The following is a 17,382-nucleotide window of genomic DNA, read 5'->3' on the forward strand; positions in this document are numbered from 1 at the left end:
TTATATCTCTTGTGACAGTAGTCCCCTTCAGTATGCCTTTGTAACTTGGCTCAAGCCAGTATTGTCATACTTATCTCCAACTGTATTAAGCAGTGTTGTGGACTGGGTAGCCCTTGTGTGTGCCTCTAATACGTATTCACCCCAAATCACTAGAATAGAGACTAGCAGAATAGGGACTAGAGGATATAGGAACAAATTGATGCTACCAATAATACAGCATGACATGTCTCTGAATTTTCAGGTTTAATGTCTGTATTGGCAGAAATAAGACCAAAGAATGACTTGGGGCATCCTTTTTGTAATAATTTGAGATCTGGAGATTGGATGATTGACTATGTCAGTAACCGGCTTATTTCACGATCAGGAACTATTGCTGAAGTAAGTAGAGCTATATTATCGTCCCAAAAAATCAAGGACATAATAATAAATATTACCATGTTATATATAATATTTACATTGTTTTCTAACCTGAACCATTTTCCTCCTTCCTTCATCATCTTTCAGTTATAATAAATGGAAATCGGGTTTATAGATTACTAGATAAAGTTGCACATTTAGATTTACCTCTAAAAACACACCTAGTCTGTACACATACCAAATTAACTTTCAAATTTATTTTAATTACAGGTTGGTAAATGGTTGCAGGCTATGTTCTTCTACCTGAAGCAGATCCCACGTTACCTTATCCCATGTTACTTTGATGCTATATTAATTGGTGCATATACCACTCTTCTGGATACAGCATGGAAGCAGATGTCAAGGTATATCCAACAAAGCTTGAATAAATGGGCATATCTGTGTTGAAACTATATACAGAGTCACTTCATACATGTTCTTAAAAAACCAAACCATAAAGAATTGTCATAGAACTGAAAAGGCTTGTAGGTGGATAGTAAATTTATTAGCATCCTTTAGTCTGTGTAGCATACAAAAACAAACTTGAATATTATAAAATCTGTTCTAAAAGCTAATAAAACATATTGATAAGAATATTGTTTTATATTGTTTCTATGTATTCACTGACTTATTGAGTTAATTGATAAAGTTTCTGAAATCTACATGTACAATTTTTCTAATTTTTCATCAATTAGGAGAAAAAATTCCACTATTACTATGAATGAAATTTGCCTTTAATGATGAATTTCCCTAAAATGAAACCACAAATTTAAGTGTACTCGTGAGAGCCACCAAATTGATTAGGACATAATTTCACAAGAACAAACTTTCATTTCTACCATTTGTTTTACAACCATCTGTGGACTGTAAGCCAGCTAAAATAATGGGTGAAATGAAAGCAGTTTTGAAATCTAACCAAAGTTTTAAAAATGTTAAGTAATATTACTATTGTTATAGATTTGTATAGAAAAATCATTTGAAGGAAAGAAACCAAGTAAAATAAAACTGCTAAAAATTGTATTTCTACAAGTAATAAATTCAATCACTTTTGTTACAGCTTTGTTCAGAATGGTTCAACCTTTGTGAAACACCTTTCATTGGGTTCAGTTCAACTGTGTGGAGTAGGAAAATTCCCTTCCCTGCCAATTCTTTCACCTGCCCTAATGGATGTACCTTATAGGTTAAATGAGATCACAAAAGAAAAGGAGCAATGTTGTGTTTCTCTAGCTGCAGGTAAGGAATTATGTACAAGGTTAAAATATGTAAATCGATAGTATTCGCGGAAGAAAAGTTATAGGAAAATGATTATTTTTTAAAAGCTTGTAATGCTACTCAAGATTTTATTTTACCACTTAGTACATTTCATAGATATTCACTCATAAAAATAATAACCATGCTTACTGTTTAATTATAACTGTGCACCAGGCATTTATGTGTGTTTTTTATGGCTAGCTGATTCTTCATGTTTCTATTTTTTCCAACTCTTGACATTCTGTGTTTTTTTAAATCAAATTTATTTTGCTATTCTCTTTTCTATATTTTCCCCCAATTTTAAAAAATAAACCCAATCTTGTAATTATCAAGAGGTCATGTAAGGGTCCCTATAAATTATAAAACAAAACAGATGTTAAATAATTTTCATCATGTGTCTAATTGGAATCAAATGCTTTCAACATTTGAATAAATATCCTTTATTCCAACTAGATTTAAAACCTGAATCAAGTAACAAATTCAAGTAAGCAAAATAGGCTAAAGGACAGGCTTTTGTTTTCTTTTTAATACATTTCAAGCATATTTCTAGAAAGTACTTAGTATTTGAGGTGACTGAAGTTTAGAACTTTCCAAACTAAACTGAAAAATATCAAGTTACAGGAAGAAAGAAATAGTATTATCTGTGTAATTCCCTCTTTTACCCTTAAATTTGCAGCTACTTAGACCAGATAAAAAGACTTAGTGATACCCAACAACTAAAATGAAAATTACCTTTCCATTAAAAATGTTCATGAAACATTCATAAAACGTTGTTTAAGTTCTATAATTGTGTTTTTAGATTTTCATTTGACTGTTTGATCTCCTGGTACCCGTTGTTCCCTCATGAATCCATGCAGATGCTCATGAAACTGACCTTAGCCATAGGGGCAAAGGAAACATTGATGTAAATAACTTGGTTTTAAAGCCTACTTTTTAGAACCCATTACAAAAAATAGTAATTTCAACCTTTTTGATTGTGTACTGCTGTTGTTAAACATCTTCAAAATATACACTTTAAACGATATACTGATATAAACTGTTACATCTGACATACTTCTCAGGTACGATATAAAACAAATAAAAACTAAAAAATTAAGTTGATAAACAAATACAAATAGAAGTGTGATATTTGCTCCTAGCATCCCAAGGGAATGTTTTGCCTATTCCATACTTGTAAAAAATAGGACTGTATTCAGATTTGCAGATAGGTTTTTTGGGGTTCATTTTAAACTGATTGGGGATGTCTTCCTTTGGTTATAGTATTGCAACAACAGCAATTAAAAACAATGGTTCATACCTGTAATCCCAACACTTTGGAAGGCTGAGGCAGGAGGATCGTTTGGGGCAGGGAGTTCAAGACCAGCCTGAACAACATAGCAAGACCCCATCTTTACCAAAAAAAAAAATTAAAAATTAGCCAGGCATGGTGGTATGTACCTGTAGTCCTAGCTACTCAGGAGGCTGGGGCAGGAGGATCCCTTGAGCCAAGGAGTTTGAGGCTGCAGTGAGCTATGATCACACCACTGCACTGCAGCCTGGGTGACAGAGGAGACCCTGTCTCAAAAAAAAAAAAAAATTTGTAGCCTGTTCTAATAATTGACAAATTAGAAATCACTTAGAAGATATGGAATCTATTAGTTGTGTACTCTTAGAGGTCAAAAAGTTAATACAAACATTTCCATACATAGTGCTAGAGATTTTATAGTTTTGACTTTTTCACAAAGACAGACCGCATATATTTTTGGATATACCGATTCAGACTCACCTTTGAATCTACCTGTATTCATGTTTCATACAAGGAATTAAATGGGTCAGAGTACCAGGAAGTGTGTATGGCACAGAGTGCTATATATATGTTAGCTGCTGTCATCACTATCATCAAAATTAATATCATGTATATATCAACCATATATAAACCATATTAATCATAAATAAATAATACACAGTGTATTTGGGGAAATTTTGTACCGTCATTTTGGAGACAACATAGGTAGGAAAAAGGTCTAATTCTTATCTTTCTTAATGGAAGAAACTAACATCTAATTCCCAATAAACAGAAACTTAAATTGTGAAGTACACTCAGGAATTGCCAAAACTTTCTTTTATCTTAGTCAAATTCTTTCACTTTTCGATCTACATTTTAATATTTGTTTTTTATTTCAGTCATCAAATATTTATAGGTATATATTATATACAGTTACAATTTTCAATGAATACATACTTGTTGGTGAACAAGGTAGATGAGGTTTCTACTCATAGGTCTTATTTCCTACTGGGAAGATATATGCATTCAACAGATAGCAAACAAGATAATTTTCAGATAGCGTTAAGTGCTTTTAAGATAGTTATAAGTGAATGCTGTGTATATTTTATTTGTCCTCAGTTTCCCCTAACCAAAATATGTGTTATATTTATGCTTTGGCATAATTTTTTTTCTTTTGAGACAGAGTTTCGCTCTTTTTGCCCAGGCTGGAGTACAATAGCGTGATCTCGGCTCACTGCAACCTCCGCTTCCTGGGTTCAAGCAATTCTCCTGCCTCAGCCACCCAAGCAGCTGGGATTACAGGCACCCACTACCACGCCTGGCTAATTTTTTGTATTTTTAGTGGAGATGGGGTTTCACCATGTTGGCCAGGATGGTCTCGAATTCCTGACCTTACTGTTTTATAAGAAACCAAACTCAATCTTTAAGTAAAATTTTAGATTGCACCATTAATCATACTATTTTATCTTGTATATAAAACCTCCAATTACCTAGAATGAAGGATTTAATGTGCCAGATAACTTGAAGTGACAAGTAAAATTGTACATATTGTGTACAGAATATAACACTTTTAAGTTGTTTTAAATTAGTGGGAAATTTGATAATGTTGACTCAAGTGCTCAAATGTTGACTCCATATACTTAATTAGGTATCATTAAGGTAATAATTTCATGTTTAGGTTTATTTATTGTCCTTAAGTTCAAGGTAGAGTCTTTTTAAATATATAATTAATATTTAGTGTTTATGTGTTAAATATTTGATCTCTGATTTTACTCTTTAGATTTAATTTATAAAAGAAAGTTTGGCCAGGTACAGTGGCTCCTGCCTGTAATCCTAGCACTTTGGGAAAGCAAGTTGGGCAGATCACTTGAGCTCAGGAGTTCAAGACCAGCCTAGGCAACCTGGCAAAACCTCATTCTCTACAAAAAATACAAAAACTAGCCAGGCATGGTGGTGTCTACCTGTAGTCTCAGCTACTTGGGAGGCTGAGGTGGGAGGATGGCTTGAGCCTGGGAGGTGGAGGTTACAGTGACGCAAGACTGTGCCACTGCACTCCAGCCTGGACAACAGAGCCAGACCCTCTCTCAGAAAGAAGAAAAGTTTATCTGTGTATTCACACCTCAATTTAGATAAGTATCTCTCTATAGCTCTGGTTCTTAATCTTCTTTAGGTCATAGGTTCCTTTAGGAATCTGACAAGATAATGGAATCTCATTTGACAGAAGTTAACATAAGTATAGACATACATTTTGCAAATAATTTTAGAGGGTTTTAGAGGATTTGCAGGTGCCTGCCTTGTACCCCAGGTTTAGAGTAACTGTTCTATAGTAATGGAGTTCATAGGTTTGTGTGTATTATTATGATTAACATATTACTTTGTTGTGTTTTTTTTGTTAGGCTTACCTCATTTTTCTTCTGGTATTTTCCGCTGCTGGGGAAGGGATACTTTTATTGCACTTAGAGGTATACTGCTGATTACTGGACGCTATGTAGAAGCCAGGTAGGAGAGCCTCTAAAGTGTTGTACTGCGAGTTTATGTCTGAATGTCTTTTACATGCTCTTCAAACTTTCCTTCTTGTCCATCTTTTCTTAACATTTGGGAGCTGTATTTTCTTTAGGTAGTTTTTATTTTATTTTTGTATGTTCACTTAATAGGATCATAAAATTTCAAAGGGGTGAAAATCTTTGAAGTCACTAAGTTCTAGTCCTTCATATTACAAGTCAGGTTATCTTTAGCATTAGCTAATTTATTTCAACAAAACTAAAAATGTTATAACCTTTTTATGCCTTCCATAGTGAAGGCATTGCTAGTTCTTTGTCTGAGTCTTGTAGAAGTCTTGATGTTTCCCTCTATTTGTTGTCAAGCCTTGTAACCTCCAGTTTTATGTTTTCTAGACTTAAAATGGTTTTTTTTGTTTTTGTTTTTTGTTTTTTGTTTTTGAGACAGAGTCTCGCACTGTCGTCCGGGCTGGAGTGCAGCGGCACAGTCTCGGCTCACTGCAACCTCCGACTCCGCCTCCCGGGTTGAAGCCATTCTGCTGCCTCAGCCTCCTGAGTAGCTGAGATTACAGGCGCCCGCCACCACGCCCAGCTAATTTTTGTATTTCTAGTAGAGACGGGGTTTCACCGTGTTGGTCAGGCTGGTCTTGAACTCCCGACCTTGTGATTTGCCTGCCTCGGCCTCCCGAAGTGCTGGGATTACAGGCGTGAGCCACCGTGCCCGGCCGTAAAATGGTATTTTTTTTAATGTCACAATAATATGAATGAACTTATTGGAGGTCGAAAGGAAAGCACTACAGCAGTGCCACTCAAAATGCATTCCACACATCAGTAGTGTCACCCTCACCTGAGAGCTTGTTAGAAATGCAGATTCTTGGACCCTATGCCAAACCTCCCAAATCCAAACCTGGACATAGAGAGAGTAGGGTTGGTGGGCAGAAATCTGTGTTTTCACAAGGTCTCTGGATGATTATCAACAGTCTAAGGCTGAAGTTTGAAAGCACTGCTCTAAAAGATAAAACTTTCAGCAAAAGGGCATTTATACGATACCTTGTTTTGATGCCATCAGGAAAATAACTGAAGTTTGCATCTTTACATGCCAAAATTTTATTTTTGATACTTTTAAAACTGAAGTTTTTAGGTGGGCATCTGAAATGAATTGCATTTTTGTTAATCCGATATATAGTAAGACCTTTTTGTATTACCATTATGGAGCTATAGAAATTTAGGAAGCTGTTTGCTTCTTCCCTAAATGCTCCTGAATTACTGATTTAGAAGAAGGAAATGGAACATCAGCATTCAGCATAGTATAGTGGTTAAGAACTTCGGCTTTACACCAGACTGCCAGCTTCTAATCCTGGTTCCAAACTACCAACTGACAAATTACCTTACTGGGTACTTGGGAGGATCAAATGAACACATACAGTTAAGGTGCCTAGAGTAATATCTGCCACATGCCTAGAGTAATATCTGCCACATGCTAAACAGTTCATAAATGTTAGTTTTTATCATTATTAATGTTTAGGCTCCCAATTATCACCTCTATGCAATATCACAAATTTGTGCTGCTTAATTTTACATAGAACTGTCTAGATTATTGGTTAGCAAACTGTGGCCTATCACCTGTTTTGTATGGCCTATGAGCAAAGAATAGCTTTTACCTTTTTTTTTTTTTTTGAGACGGAGTCTTGCTCTGTCACTCAGGCTGGAGTGCAGTGGCGCAATCTCCGCTCACTGCAAGCTCCGCCTCCCGGGTTCATGCCATTCTTCTGCCTCAGCCTCCTGAGTAGCTGGGACTACAGGCGCCCGCCACCACACCCGGCTAATTTTTTGTATTTTTAGTAGAGACCGGGTTTCACCATGTTAGCCAGGATGGTCTCGATATCCTGACCTTATGATCCGCCTGCCTCATCCTCCCAAAGTGCTGGGATTACAGGCGTGAGCCACTGCGCCCTACCAGAATAGCTTTTACCTTTTTCTTTTTAAAGGGTCATTTAAAAGAAGAAAGCATGTGCAACAGAATTCATATATGTCCCACAAAGCCTAAAATACTTAGTATATGGCCCTTTATAGAAAAGGTTTGCCTACCCCGATCTAGAGGTGATTCCCAGAGAATAATATATTATCCCAGAGGGTATTTGTTAGGGTAGTGCTAGCTGCCATAAATTATAAACACTTAAAATCTTAATGGCTTTTCACAAATAAAATTTATTTCTTGCTTGTAGTCGTAGACGCATGCTCAGTAAGCAGCCTTCTATATACTGATTCAGGGAAGCAGGTTTCTTCCAGCTTGAGGATCTGTCAGTTTCCATGGCTTCTGGGGCCTCTCCAGGAGGCAAGCAGAGAGGGAAAGAGAGCTGGGGGAACACACCTATTCTCCATACACTTAACATGCATCAGTTCTGGCCACAACCAACTGTAAGATTGGTTGTGAATTGTAGGAAATTCGTTTTAGTGGACATATACCTCTACCACAGATGGTTCTACTTCCTCCCTCTATAGAGGTAATCATGAATCAGAAGTCGTTTTATTAAAATGTACAAGATTGTTCCAGATGGTTAAGATTGCTAGCACTATGGCCAGGCATGGTGGCTCACAACTGTAATCAGCACTTTGGGAGCCTGAGGCGGGCAGATTGCTTGAGTCCACAAGTTCAAGACCAGCCTGGGCAACAGGGTCTCTTAAAAAAACAAATATATATGTATATATAGAGAGAGCTAGTATTCTGACCTTTTCTTAATTGAAAGTGTCACTGTCTATACTAATATTTTTATACTTTGTAAATAAAAAGTTTCCCATTGCATTACTGTTGAAAAGATGGGCATTAAGCTTAGACATAGAATTAATAAAAATTTCTGAGTGGTTTAGCCAAAAAGCAGTAAGACCTAGACATTTTAAATAACATTTCCAAGGCCACACAGATGGCAAAGCTAGGATTTAGACTTCAGCCTTCTTATTTCTTAATTTCATGCTGTTTCTAGAGTGCCTTTCTGTCTTACAAACAAAATTTTCATTTGGTATATAATAGTAAAATAATGCTTTAAAAAATTAACTGTCTTCAACCAGTTTTTAAACTGGTTGAATTATGTTTTTCAAGGTCAGCTTCTACCAGTTTGTTTTCTTTCTCTCTCTCTCTCTCTCTTTCTCTCTCTCTTTCTCTCTCTCTCTCTTTCCCTCCCTCCCTCCCTCCCTCTCTCCTTCCTTCCTTCCTTTCTTTCTTTCCTTCTTTCTTTCTTTTCTTTCTTTTTTTTGAGACTGAGTCTCGCTCTGCCATCCAGGCTGGAGTGCCGTGGCGCAATCTCCGCTCACTGCAAGCTCCGCCTCCCTGGTTCACGCCGTTCTCCTGCCTCAGCCTCCTGAGTAGCTGGGATTACAGGTGCCTGCCACTACGCCCGGCTAATTTTTTGTGTTTTTAGTAGAGACGGGGTTTCACCGTGTTAGTCAGGATGGTCTCGATCTCCTGACCTCGTGATCTACCCGCCTCAGCCTCCCAAAGTGCTAGGATTACAGGCCTGAGCCACCACGCCCGGCCTTCTTTCTTTTCTTTCTTCTTTTTTTTTTTGATAGAGTCTTGCTCTGTTGCCCAGACTGGAGTACACTGGCACAATCTCAGCTCACTGCAACCTCTGCCTCCTGGGTTCAGGCAATTCTCTTGCCTAAGCCTTCTGAGTAGCTGGGACTACAGGCACGCACCACCATTCCTGGCTTATTTTTGTATTTTTAGTAGAGACAGCGTTTCACCATGTTGACCAGGCTGGTCTCAAACTCCTGACCTCAGGTGTTCCGCCCGCCTCGGCCTCCCAAAATGCTGAGATTACAGGTGTGAGCCACTATGCCCAGCCAGTTTGTTTTCCTATATGTTTGTTTTACTCTTGGTTTCTGCTATTTAAAATAATTAAGTTCTTGTTTAATAGTTACTTCGATTTTGAAATACCATAGACTTCAAAAGTAGAATCTGGAGCTATGAGGGACCTTAAAAATCACCCAGTCCAATCTCAAATGAAAAAACTGTATCAGAGAGGGAGTCACACAGATTGTTAGCATAAAATTCTAGTCTAGAATCAAGGTTCCTGACTTTAATTCAGTACTTACTCTATCATACTATGACTACTTTCTACATGAAAATATAAAGAAATAGGGCAAGAGAGAAAACGCATTCAAAATATAGTCACCAAAAGTGACTGGTTTTTGTCTTCAATTTTTAAGTGTTTGTTTTCATTTCTGATCCACTTAATTCTGTTGTTTTAGGAATATTATTTTAGCATTTGCGGGTACCCTGAGGCATGGTCTCATTCCTAATCTACTGGGTGAAGGAATTTATGCCAGATACAATTGTCGGGATGCTGTGTGGTGGTGGCTGCAGTGTATCCAGGATTACTGTAAAATGGTTCCAAATGGTCTAGACATTCTCAAGTGCCCAGTTTCCAGAATGTATCCTACAGATGATTCTGCTCCTTTGCCTGCTGGCACACTGGTAAAGATATTTCTTAAAATGTTTTTTTGTTTTTTTTTTTTTTTCTGAAAAATGACTTTTAGTTTCTAATGTAAAAATAAGGGTAATTAAGAATCCAAATCTTACGAATTATTCAAATGTCAGTATTGATTTGGCACCTGCTGGTACTATAAGTGATTGGTCTTTGCCTGAAGAACTTTGCAACATGGTAGAAGAGATGATGATGTGTACATAAATATGGCCATTGCAATAGATTGTAGAGGAAGTGTTGTGTAGTCTCTTAAAAGAGAGAGAAGGTCCAGTAGGTAGGTCTCAGGGAGAACGTTAGAAAGTAGCTAAAGTTTCACCTAAATGAGCCATAAAAGGTGAGTAGGACTTTCGGAGAGATGGAGAAAGTTGTTGGGAGACATTAGAGTTGAAAAGAAGCCAGGTGTATGGCACACACCTGTAATCTCAGCTTCTCAGGAGGCTGAGGCAGAAGGATCACTTGAGGCCAGGAGTATGAGTCCAGCCTAGGCAACATAGCAAAACTCAGTCTCTTTAAAAAAAAAAAAAAAAAAAAAAAGAGGAAAGGAATAATAGGGTTGCATAGTGGATTGAAGCACAGTTTAGGGGACATAGTACTTAATAGTGTTTTTGTAAGAGCCTAGGCTCTTATAAAATACGTTTTGTGAAAAAGTCAATATGGTTTGGCTTTTTGTGTAGGATACCTGCAGGGTAGTAAGAGATTATGGAAAGGGTGAGCCAGGTTATGGAGAGCCTTGACTACCAATCCAGGGAGCTTAAAGATTATCTTATGAACAGTGAAGAATGGATAGACATTTTTGAGTGTTTTTTTTTCCCTAATCAAGAATGGACAATAATACTATACTTTTGCCACTTCTGATCTGCCTTTATGTTAATAGTTTGTTATATATGATTGGGGGGGCTGGGAGGGGATAGTAGCTTTGTAAGCTACTCCAGGGTTAGCATATATTTGTGTTCTCATGATATTTATTTATATCATGAAGTACTCAACATTTGTCCAAAATTTTTTTATTTGTCCTCTGTTATCAACTGACATTTCTGTTACAATGAATATAGGTTCATGCTATCAGGCAGGTAATTATTTTACACATAACTTTGTTTTCTCACAGTTTATCCAAAAATATTCACAGCATTATAATTTTTATAATTAATAGTAGAATTTTTATATTATAGAGTTTTGGTTATATTCAGAGTCTTTAAAATGAAACATAATAAACATGTAAGGACTCTAAACATTTTGCTTCTATTTAACATTCTTTACCTTATTTTTAAAAATATAATTGTATATTTTCCCAAATGTCATCCTGAGTATCACATTTATTATTTATATGGGTAAAGAAAATGACTTATGAATTCTTTACATTCACTGGGGTATTTTCCAAAGTCATTATGGATCCTCAAATTTGAGAGTTTCCCTTTAGCTCATAATTTACCCCCATTACCTGTGTATGCAGATGAGTAAAAATAGCAATGCCAATTTAAAATTCAGATGCTGGATAACAAGCTAGGTTCGTTTATTAGCTGAAGAGATCACTCTGATAGAAACTGTAGAAGCTCACTAGATTTGTTTTTGTGTATCAGCAGATTATTTTATGTCACAGACATGAATAGTCAAAACTACTGATGTTAAATATTTGTATGCTCGTCTGTATTATTTGGTATATAGGAGCTGCTTCTTCCCTGGCCTCACCCCAATTCCTATTTCTCACTTCAAAGGAAAGTATATATTTTCACATTACTTCAGTTGTCGGATTTGGGGGAAAATAAGAAAAATGTAATTTCTAACAGAGGTAACACCCATTATGTCTCAAACAGGATCAGCCATTGTTTGAAGTCATACAGGAAGCAATGCAAAAACACATGCAGGGCATACAGTTCCGAGAAAGGAATGCTGGTCCCCAGATAGATCGAAACATGAAGGACGAAGGTACAGAACTTTAACTAAAATAGTACAAATTTATCAAGGTGATGAAATTAAACCTTGCAATTGTTCACTTAGTAAATATTTGTGTGCCAAACCTCACGATATAATGATTAAAAAGATTAACATAGTTCCTGATCTCACCAAGTTTTTAGTTTCTAGCAGAAAAATAAAATTTTATATCTTTTGTCAGCCAGTTTGAAAGATAATTTTGGTGGTTTCATTTATAACTATAATAATCGCCATGAACTGCATGCTTACTATTGCTAGGCATTGTGGTAACTACTTTACCTATATTATTACCATTTAACACTCCCCAAAACATTGAGAATGAGTGATATTGTTTCCATTTTTTTTAATTATTATACTTTAAATTCTAGGGTACAGGTGCACAACGTGCAGGTTTGTTACATATGTATACATGTGCCATGTTGGTGTGCTGCACCCATTAACTCATCATTTACATAGGTATATCTCCTAATGCTATCCCTCCCCCATCCCCCCACTCCACAACAGGCCCCAGTATGTGATATTCCCCTTCCCGTGTCCAAGTATTCTCATTGTTCAGTTCCCATCTATGAGTGAGAACATGCGGTGTCTGGATTTTTGTCCTTGCGATAGTTTGCTGAGAATGATGGTTTCCAGCTTCATCCATGTCCCTACAAAGGACATGAACTCATCCTTTTTTATGGCTGCATAGTATTCCATGGTGTATATGTGACACATTTTCTTAATCCAGTCTATCATTGATGGACATTTGGGTTGGTTCCAAGTCTTTGCTATTGTGAATACTGCTGCAATGAACATACGTGTGCATGTGTCTTTATAGCAGCATGATTTATAATCCTTTGGGTATATACCCAGTAATGGGATTGCTGGGTCAAATGGTATTTCTAGTTCTAGATCCCTGAGGAATCGCCACACTGACTTCCACAATGGTTGAACTAGTTAACAGTCCCCCCAACAGTGTAAAAGTGTTCCTATTTCTCCACATCCTCTCCAGCACCTGTTGTTTCCTGACTTTTTAATGATTGCCATTCTAACTGGTGTGAGATGGTATCTCATTGTGGTTTTGATTTGCATTTCTCTGATGGCCAGTGATGATGAGCATTTTTTCATGTGTCTGTTGGCTGCATAGATGTCTTTGCCCACTTTTTGATGGGGTTGTTTGTTTTTTTCTTGTAAATTTGCTTGAGTTCTTTGTAGATTCTGGATAACTGAAGCAGAGTAGCTTGCCCAGAGTCACATAGCTACTAAGTGGTAGAGGTAGACTTTACTCATGGTCTATCTTGAGAGCCTAGGCACTTACAAAATACTTTTTGTAGAAAGGTTTATTTGTATATGGTATTAAAATAAATGTGCTTTTCTAACTTCTCTTGAGTTCACCATATTCGTCATCTCATGGCACACTATCATCGCCGCCAATGCAAGGCTAATAGTAATTTATTTCATTTTATTCCCCATTCCCCTTAGTCATTCCAATGTGTTTATTATATATTTATTTTGTAAAACATGCATTGTTTTATGTTCATGTGGGTTTTTTAAACTTTGTAATTTTGAAAGATTAGACTCACAAGAAGTTGAAAAAATGATACATAGTATGCCATGAACTCTTCACCCAGTACAGCATCAGAGTCAGGAGATTGACATTAGTATGTTTTCAACTTTTAAAAGTTTTTACATTCACTTGTGTGTATATGTGTATGTGTAGATCCGTGCAATTTGACCCCATGTATAGCTTCATGTAGCCACTGCCATAATCAAGATACAGAACTGGTCCATCACCATAAAGATCTTTGTGTACCCTTTTATGGTCACACCTGACCACTCCACCCCCAACCCTGGTCTCTCTGGCAGCTACTAATCTGTTCTGCAACTCTATAGTTTTGTCATTTTGAGAATGTTATATGAATGAAACCATGTTCTATATAACCTTCTGAGATTGATTTTTTCACTGTGCATAATGCCCTTAAGATCCATCCAAGTTGTTGCATTTATCAATAGTTTATTCCTTTTTATTGCTGAGTAGTATTCCCTTTTATGCATATACCAGTATTTATTTAACCATTCATCCAAACCATTCATCCATTGAAGGACATTTGGGTTGTTTTCATGTTTTGGCTAATACGAGTAAAGCTACTGTGAACATTCATGTACAAGTTTTTGTGTGACACATAAGTTTTCATTTTTTCTGGGATAAATGTCCAAGAATGGGATTGGTTCATATAGTAAGTATATGTTTTGTTTTAGAAGAAACTGCCAAACTATTTTCCAGAGTGTTTTACCATTTTAATAAATTCCCGCCAGCAAACTGGAGAGATCCAGTTTTGCTACATCTTGCCAGCATTTGGTGGTACCCCTTTCTTTTAAGCTGTTCAGATAGCTTCATAGACCACTACAAACTGTGTGTGGTGGGGGGGTGGGTCTGAGATGGAGTCTTGCTCTGTCCCCCAGCTGGAGTGCAGTGGCGCAATCTCAGCTCACTGCAATCTCTGCCTCCTGGGTTCAAACGATTCTTGTACCTCAGCCTCCCAAGTAGCTGGACTACAGGTGCATGCCACCACAACTAGCTAATTTTTTGTATTTGTTGTTGTTGTTGTTGTTGTTGTTGTTGTTGTTGTTTTAGTAGAGATGAGGCTTCGCCATGTTTTGGCCAGGCTGGACATTGTGGTTTTAATTTGCATTTCCCTAATGGCTAATGGTATGGAATATCTTTTCATGTGCTCATTGGCCATCCATCTTCCCTCTTTGCTGAAATGTCGGTTCACGTATTTTGCACATTGTCTCTTTCTTTATTATTTTTTAGAGACAGGGTCCCACTCTGTCACTGAGACTGGATGGCAGTGGTGCATCATAGCTCACTCAACTTCTAATTCCTGGGTTTAAGCAGTCCTCCTGCCTCAGACTGCCAAGTAGCTGAGACTACACGTGTGCACCACTGAACCAGGCTAATTTCTTTTTTTAATTTTTTTGTAGAGGTGGGAGTCTCCCTATGTTCCCCAGGCTTGTCTTGAATTCCTGACCTCAAGCAATCCTCTTGCCTCAGCTTCCTAAAGTGCTGGGATTACAGGGATGAGCCACTGAGCTCAATCTCTTTTGTCCGTTTTATAATTGTATAATTGGAGTGCTGTTTTTTGTTTTGTTTTGTTTTGTTTTTACTATTGGTTTTTTTTATTGTGGTAAAATAGACATAATGTATATTTACCATTTTACCATAAAAGTTACAATTTTAGCCATTTTAAGTGTACAATTCAGTGGCTTTAAGTACAATCACATTGTTGTGCAACCATCATCACTGTCCATCTCCAGAACTTTGTCATCATTCCTAATTGAAGCAGGAACTCCTCATTATCTCCTTCCCCAGCCCCTGGAACCACTATCCTACTTTCTGCCTCTATAAATTCAATTATCCTAGGGACCTCATATAAGCGGAATCATACAGTCTTTGCCCTTTTGTACCTGGCTTATTTCACTTAGCATAATTATTTTTTATCAATACATAAGAGTTGTACATACTTAGCATAATTCTTTTGAAGTTCAGCCATGTTGTAGCAGATGTCATAATTTTATTCCTTTTTTTGTCTTTTTTGTGATAAAAAGCATGTAACGTTAAATTTACCTTAGCCATTTTCAAGTGTACAGTTCAGTAGTGTTAAGTATATTAACATTGTTGTGGAACAGATCTCTAGAACTTTTTTACCTTGCAAAACAAACTCTATACTCGTGAAACACTAGTTCTTCCTCCTCTATCCCCACTCTTCCCAGGCCTTAGTAACCACCTGTCTGCTTTCTGTCCCTGTGATTTTGACTACTTTAGATACTTCATATGAGTGAAATCATGCAGTATTTGTTCTTTTGTGACTGATTTTTTCCACTTAGCATAATGCCAAGGTTCATCCATCTCATAGCATGTGACAGGATTCCCTTCTTTTTCAAGGCTGCATAATATTCCATTGTATGCATACATTTTCTTTATTCATTCATTGTCAGTGGGCATTTTATTGCTTCCATCTCTTGGCTCTTGAGAATAATGCTGCAGTTAACATGTGTATGCAAATATCTCTTCAGGATCCTGCTTTCATTTTTATGTATATATACCCAAAGTGGAATGCTAGATTGTATGTTAATTCTATTTCTAATTTTTTGAGAAACTTCTATAATATTCTCCATAATGGCTGCAACATTTACATTCCCACAACTATTCAAATTTCTCTGCAACTTTGCTAACACCTGGTATTTTCTGTTCTTTTGATAGTTACCATCCTAATGGGTGTGAGGTGATATCCCATTCTGGTTTTGATTTGCATTTCCCTAATGATTAGAAGTGTTAACCATCTTTTTATATGTTTGTTTGCCAATTATGGGTCTTCTTTGGAGAATTGTCTATTGAAGCCCTTTGCCCATTTTTTAATTGGTTTTTGATTTTTTGGTTATTGACTTGTAGAAGTTTCTTATATATTCTGGATATTAACCCCTTATCATACATATGAGAATTTCATTTCTTTTTAAGGCTGAATAATATTCCATTGTATGTATATACCACATTTTGTGTTTCCATTCATTTGTCAATGGACATTTGGGTTTTTTCCACCTTTTGGCTATTGGGAATAATGCTGCTGTGAACATGGGTGTACAAATATCAGTTTGAGTCCCTGCTTTCAATTCTTTTGGGTATCTACCTAGAAGAGAACTTGCTGGATCATATGATAATTGTTTGTTGACCTTTTTGAGTAACTACCGTACTGTCTTCCACAGTGGCTGTGCCATTTTACACTCTTACTAATAGTAAACAGGCTTCCATTCATCTATATCCTCACCAATACTTGTTTTTTTCTGTGTTTGTTTTTTTGGATTTTGTTTTTGTTGTTTTGGTTTTTGTTTTTGTTCGTTTGTTTTTGTTTTTTGTTTTTTTTGCTAGTAGCCATCCTAAATGGCTATGAGGTGGTATCTAATGGTTTTGATTTGCATTTCCTTAATGATTTCTTAGTGATGTTGAGCATCTCTTCATGTGCTTGCAGGCATACATATATCTTCTTTGGAGAAATGTCTATTCACATCCTTTGAATTTAGGGAATGAATTGAGTTCTTTTGTTATTGAGGTGCAGGGTGCTTTGTATATTCTGGATACGAAACACTTATTAGATATGGTTTGCAAATATTTTCTCCCATATTGTGGGTTGTCTATTCACTATCTTAAAAGTATCCTTTGATAAACAAAAGTTTCTGATTTTGATTAAGTCCAATTTATCTACTTTTGTTACCTGTGCCTATTGTATCATATGCAAAAAAGCCTCATCAAATTCAATGTCATGAAGCTTTTGCCATACATTTTTGTCTAAGAATTTTATAGTTTTAACTCTTGTGTTTAGGTCTTTGATCCATATTGAGTTAATTTTTGCATATGATATTAAGTCCAAGTCCATTTTTTTTTTTTGCATGTGAATATCCAGTTTACTCAGCTCCATTTGCCAAAAAAAATATAAACTGTCCCTTCCCCAATGAATGGTCTTGGCACCCTTGTCAAAAAAAATTTGACTGCATATACAGGGTTTATTTCTGGGTTCTCTGTTCC

General features: G+C 36.6%; 1 protein-coding gene across 13 annotated transcripts in view; it reads left to right on the forward strand.

Moving 5' to 3' along the window:
* Positions 1-17,382, forward strand: part of AGL (amylo-alpha-1,6-glucosidase and 4-alpha-glucanotransferase) — a 74,766-nt gene that overhangs the window by 41,721 nt on the left and 15,663 nt on the right. For 12 of the 13 annotated variants that reach the window (XM_005270557.3, NM_000643.3, NM_000644.3 and 9 more), the window contains 6 exons: positions 242-378; positions 628-761; positions 1,454-1,629; positions 5,308-5,410; positions 9,658-9,883; positions 11,705-11,816. In XM_005270557.3, the coding sequence (XP_005270614.1) occupies positions 242-378; positions 628-761; positions 1,454-1,629; positions 5,308-5,410; positions 9,658-9,883; positions 11,705-11,816 (888 nt within the window). The remainder of the gene's footprint in view (positions 1-241; positions 379-627; positions 762-1,453; positions 1,630-5,307; positions 5,411-9,657; positions 9,884-11,704; positions 11,817-17,382) is intronic. The other variant, NM_001425326.1, reaches the window with a different exon arrangement.

This window comes from Homo sapiens, chromosome 1, assembly GCF_000001405.40.
Source record: "Homo sapiens chromosome 1, GRCh38.p14 Primary Assembly".
NCBI lineage: Eukaryota > Metazoa > Chordata > Mammalia > Primates > Hominidae > Homo > Homo sapiens.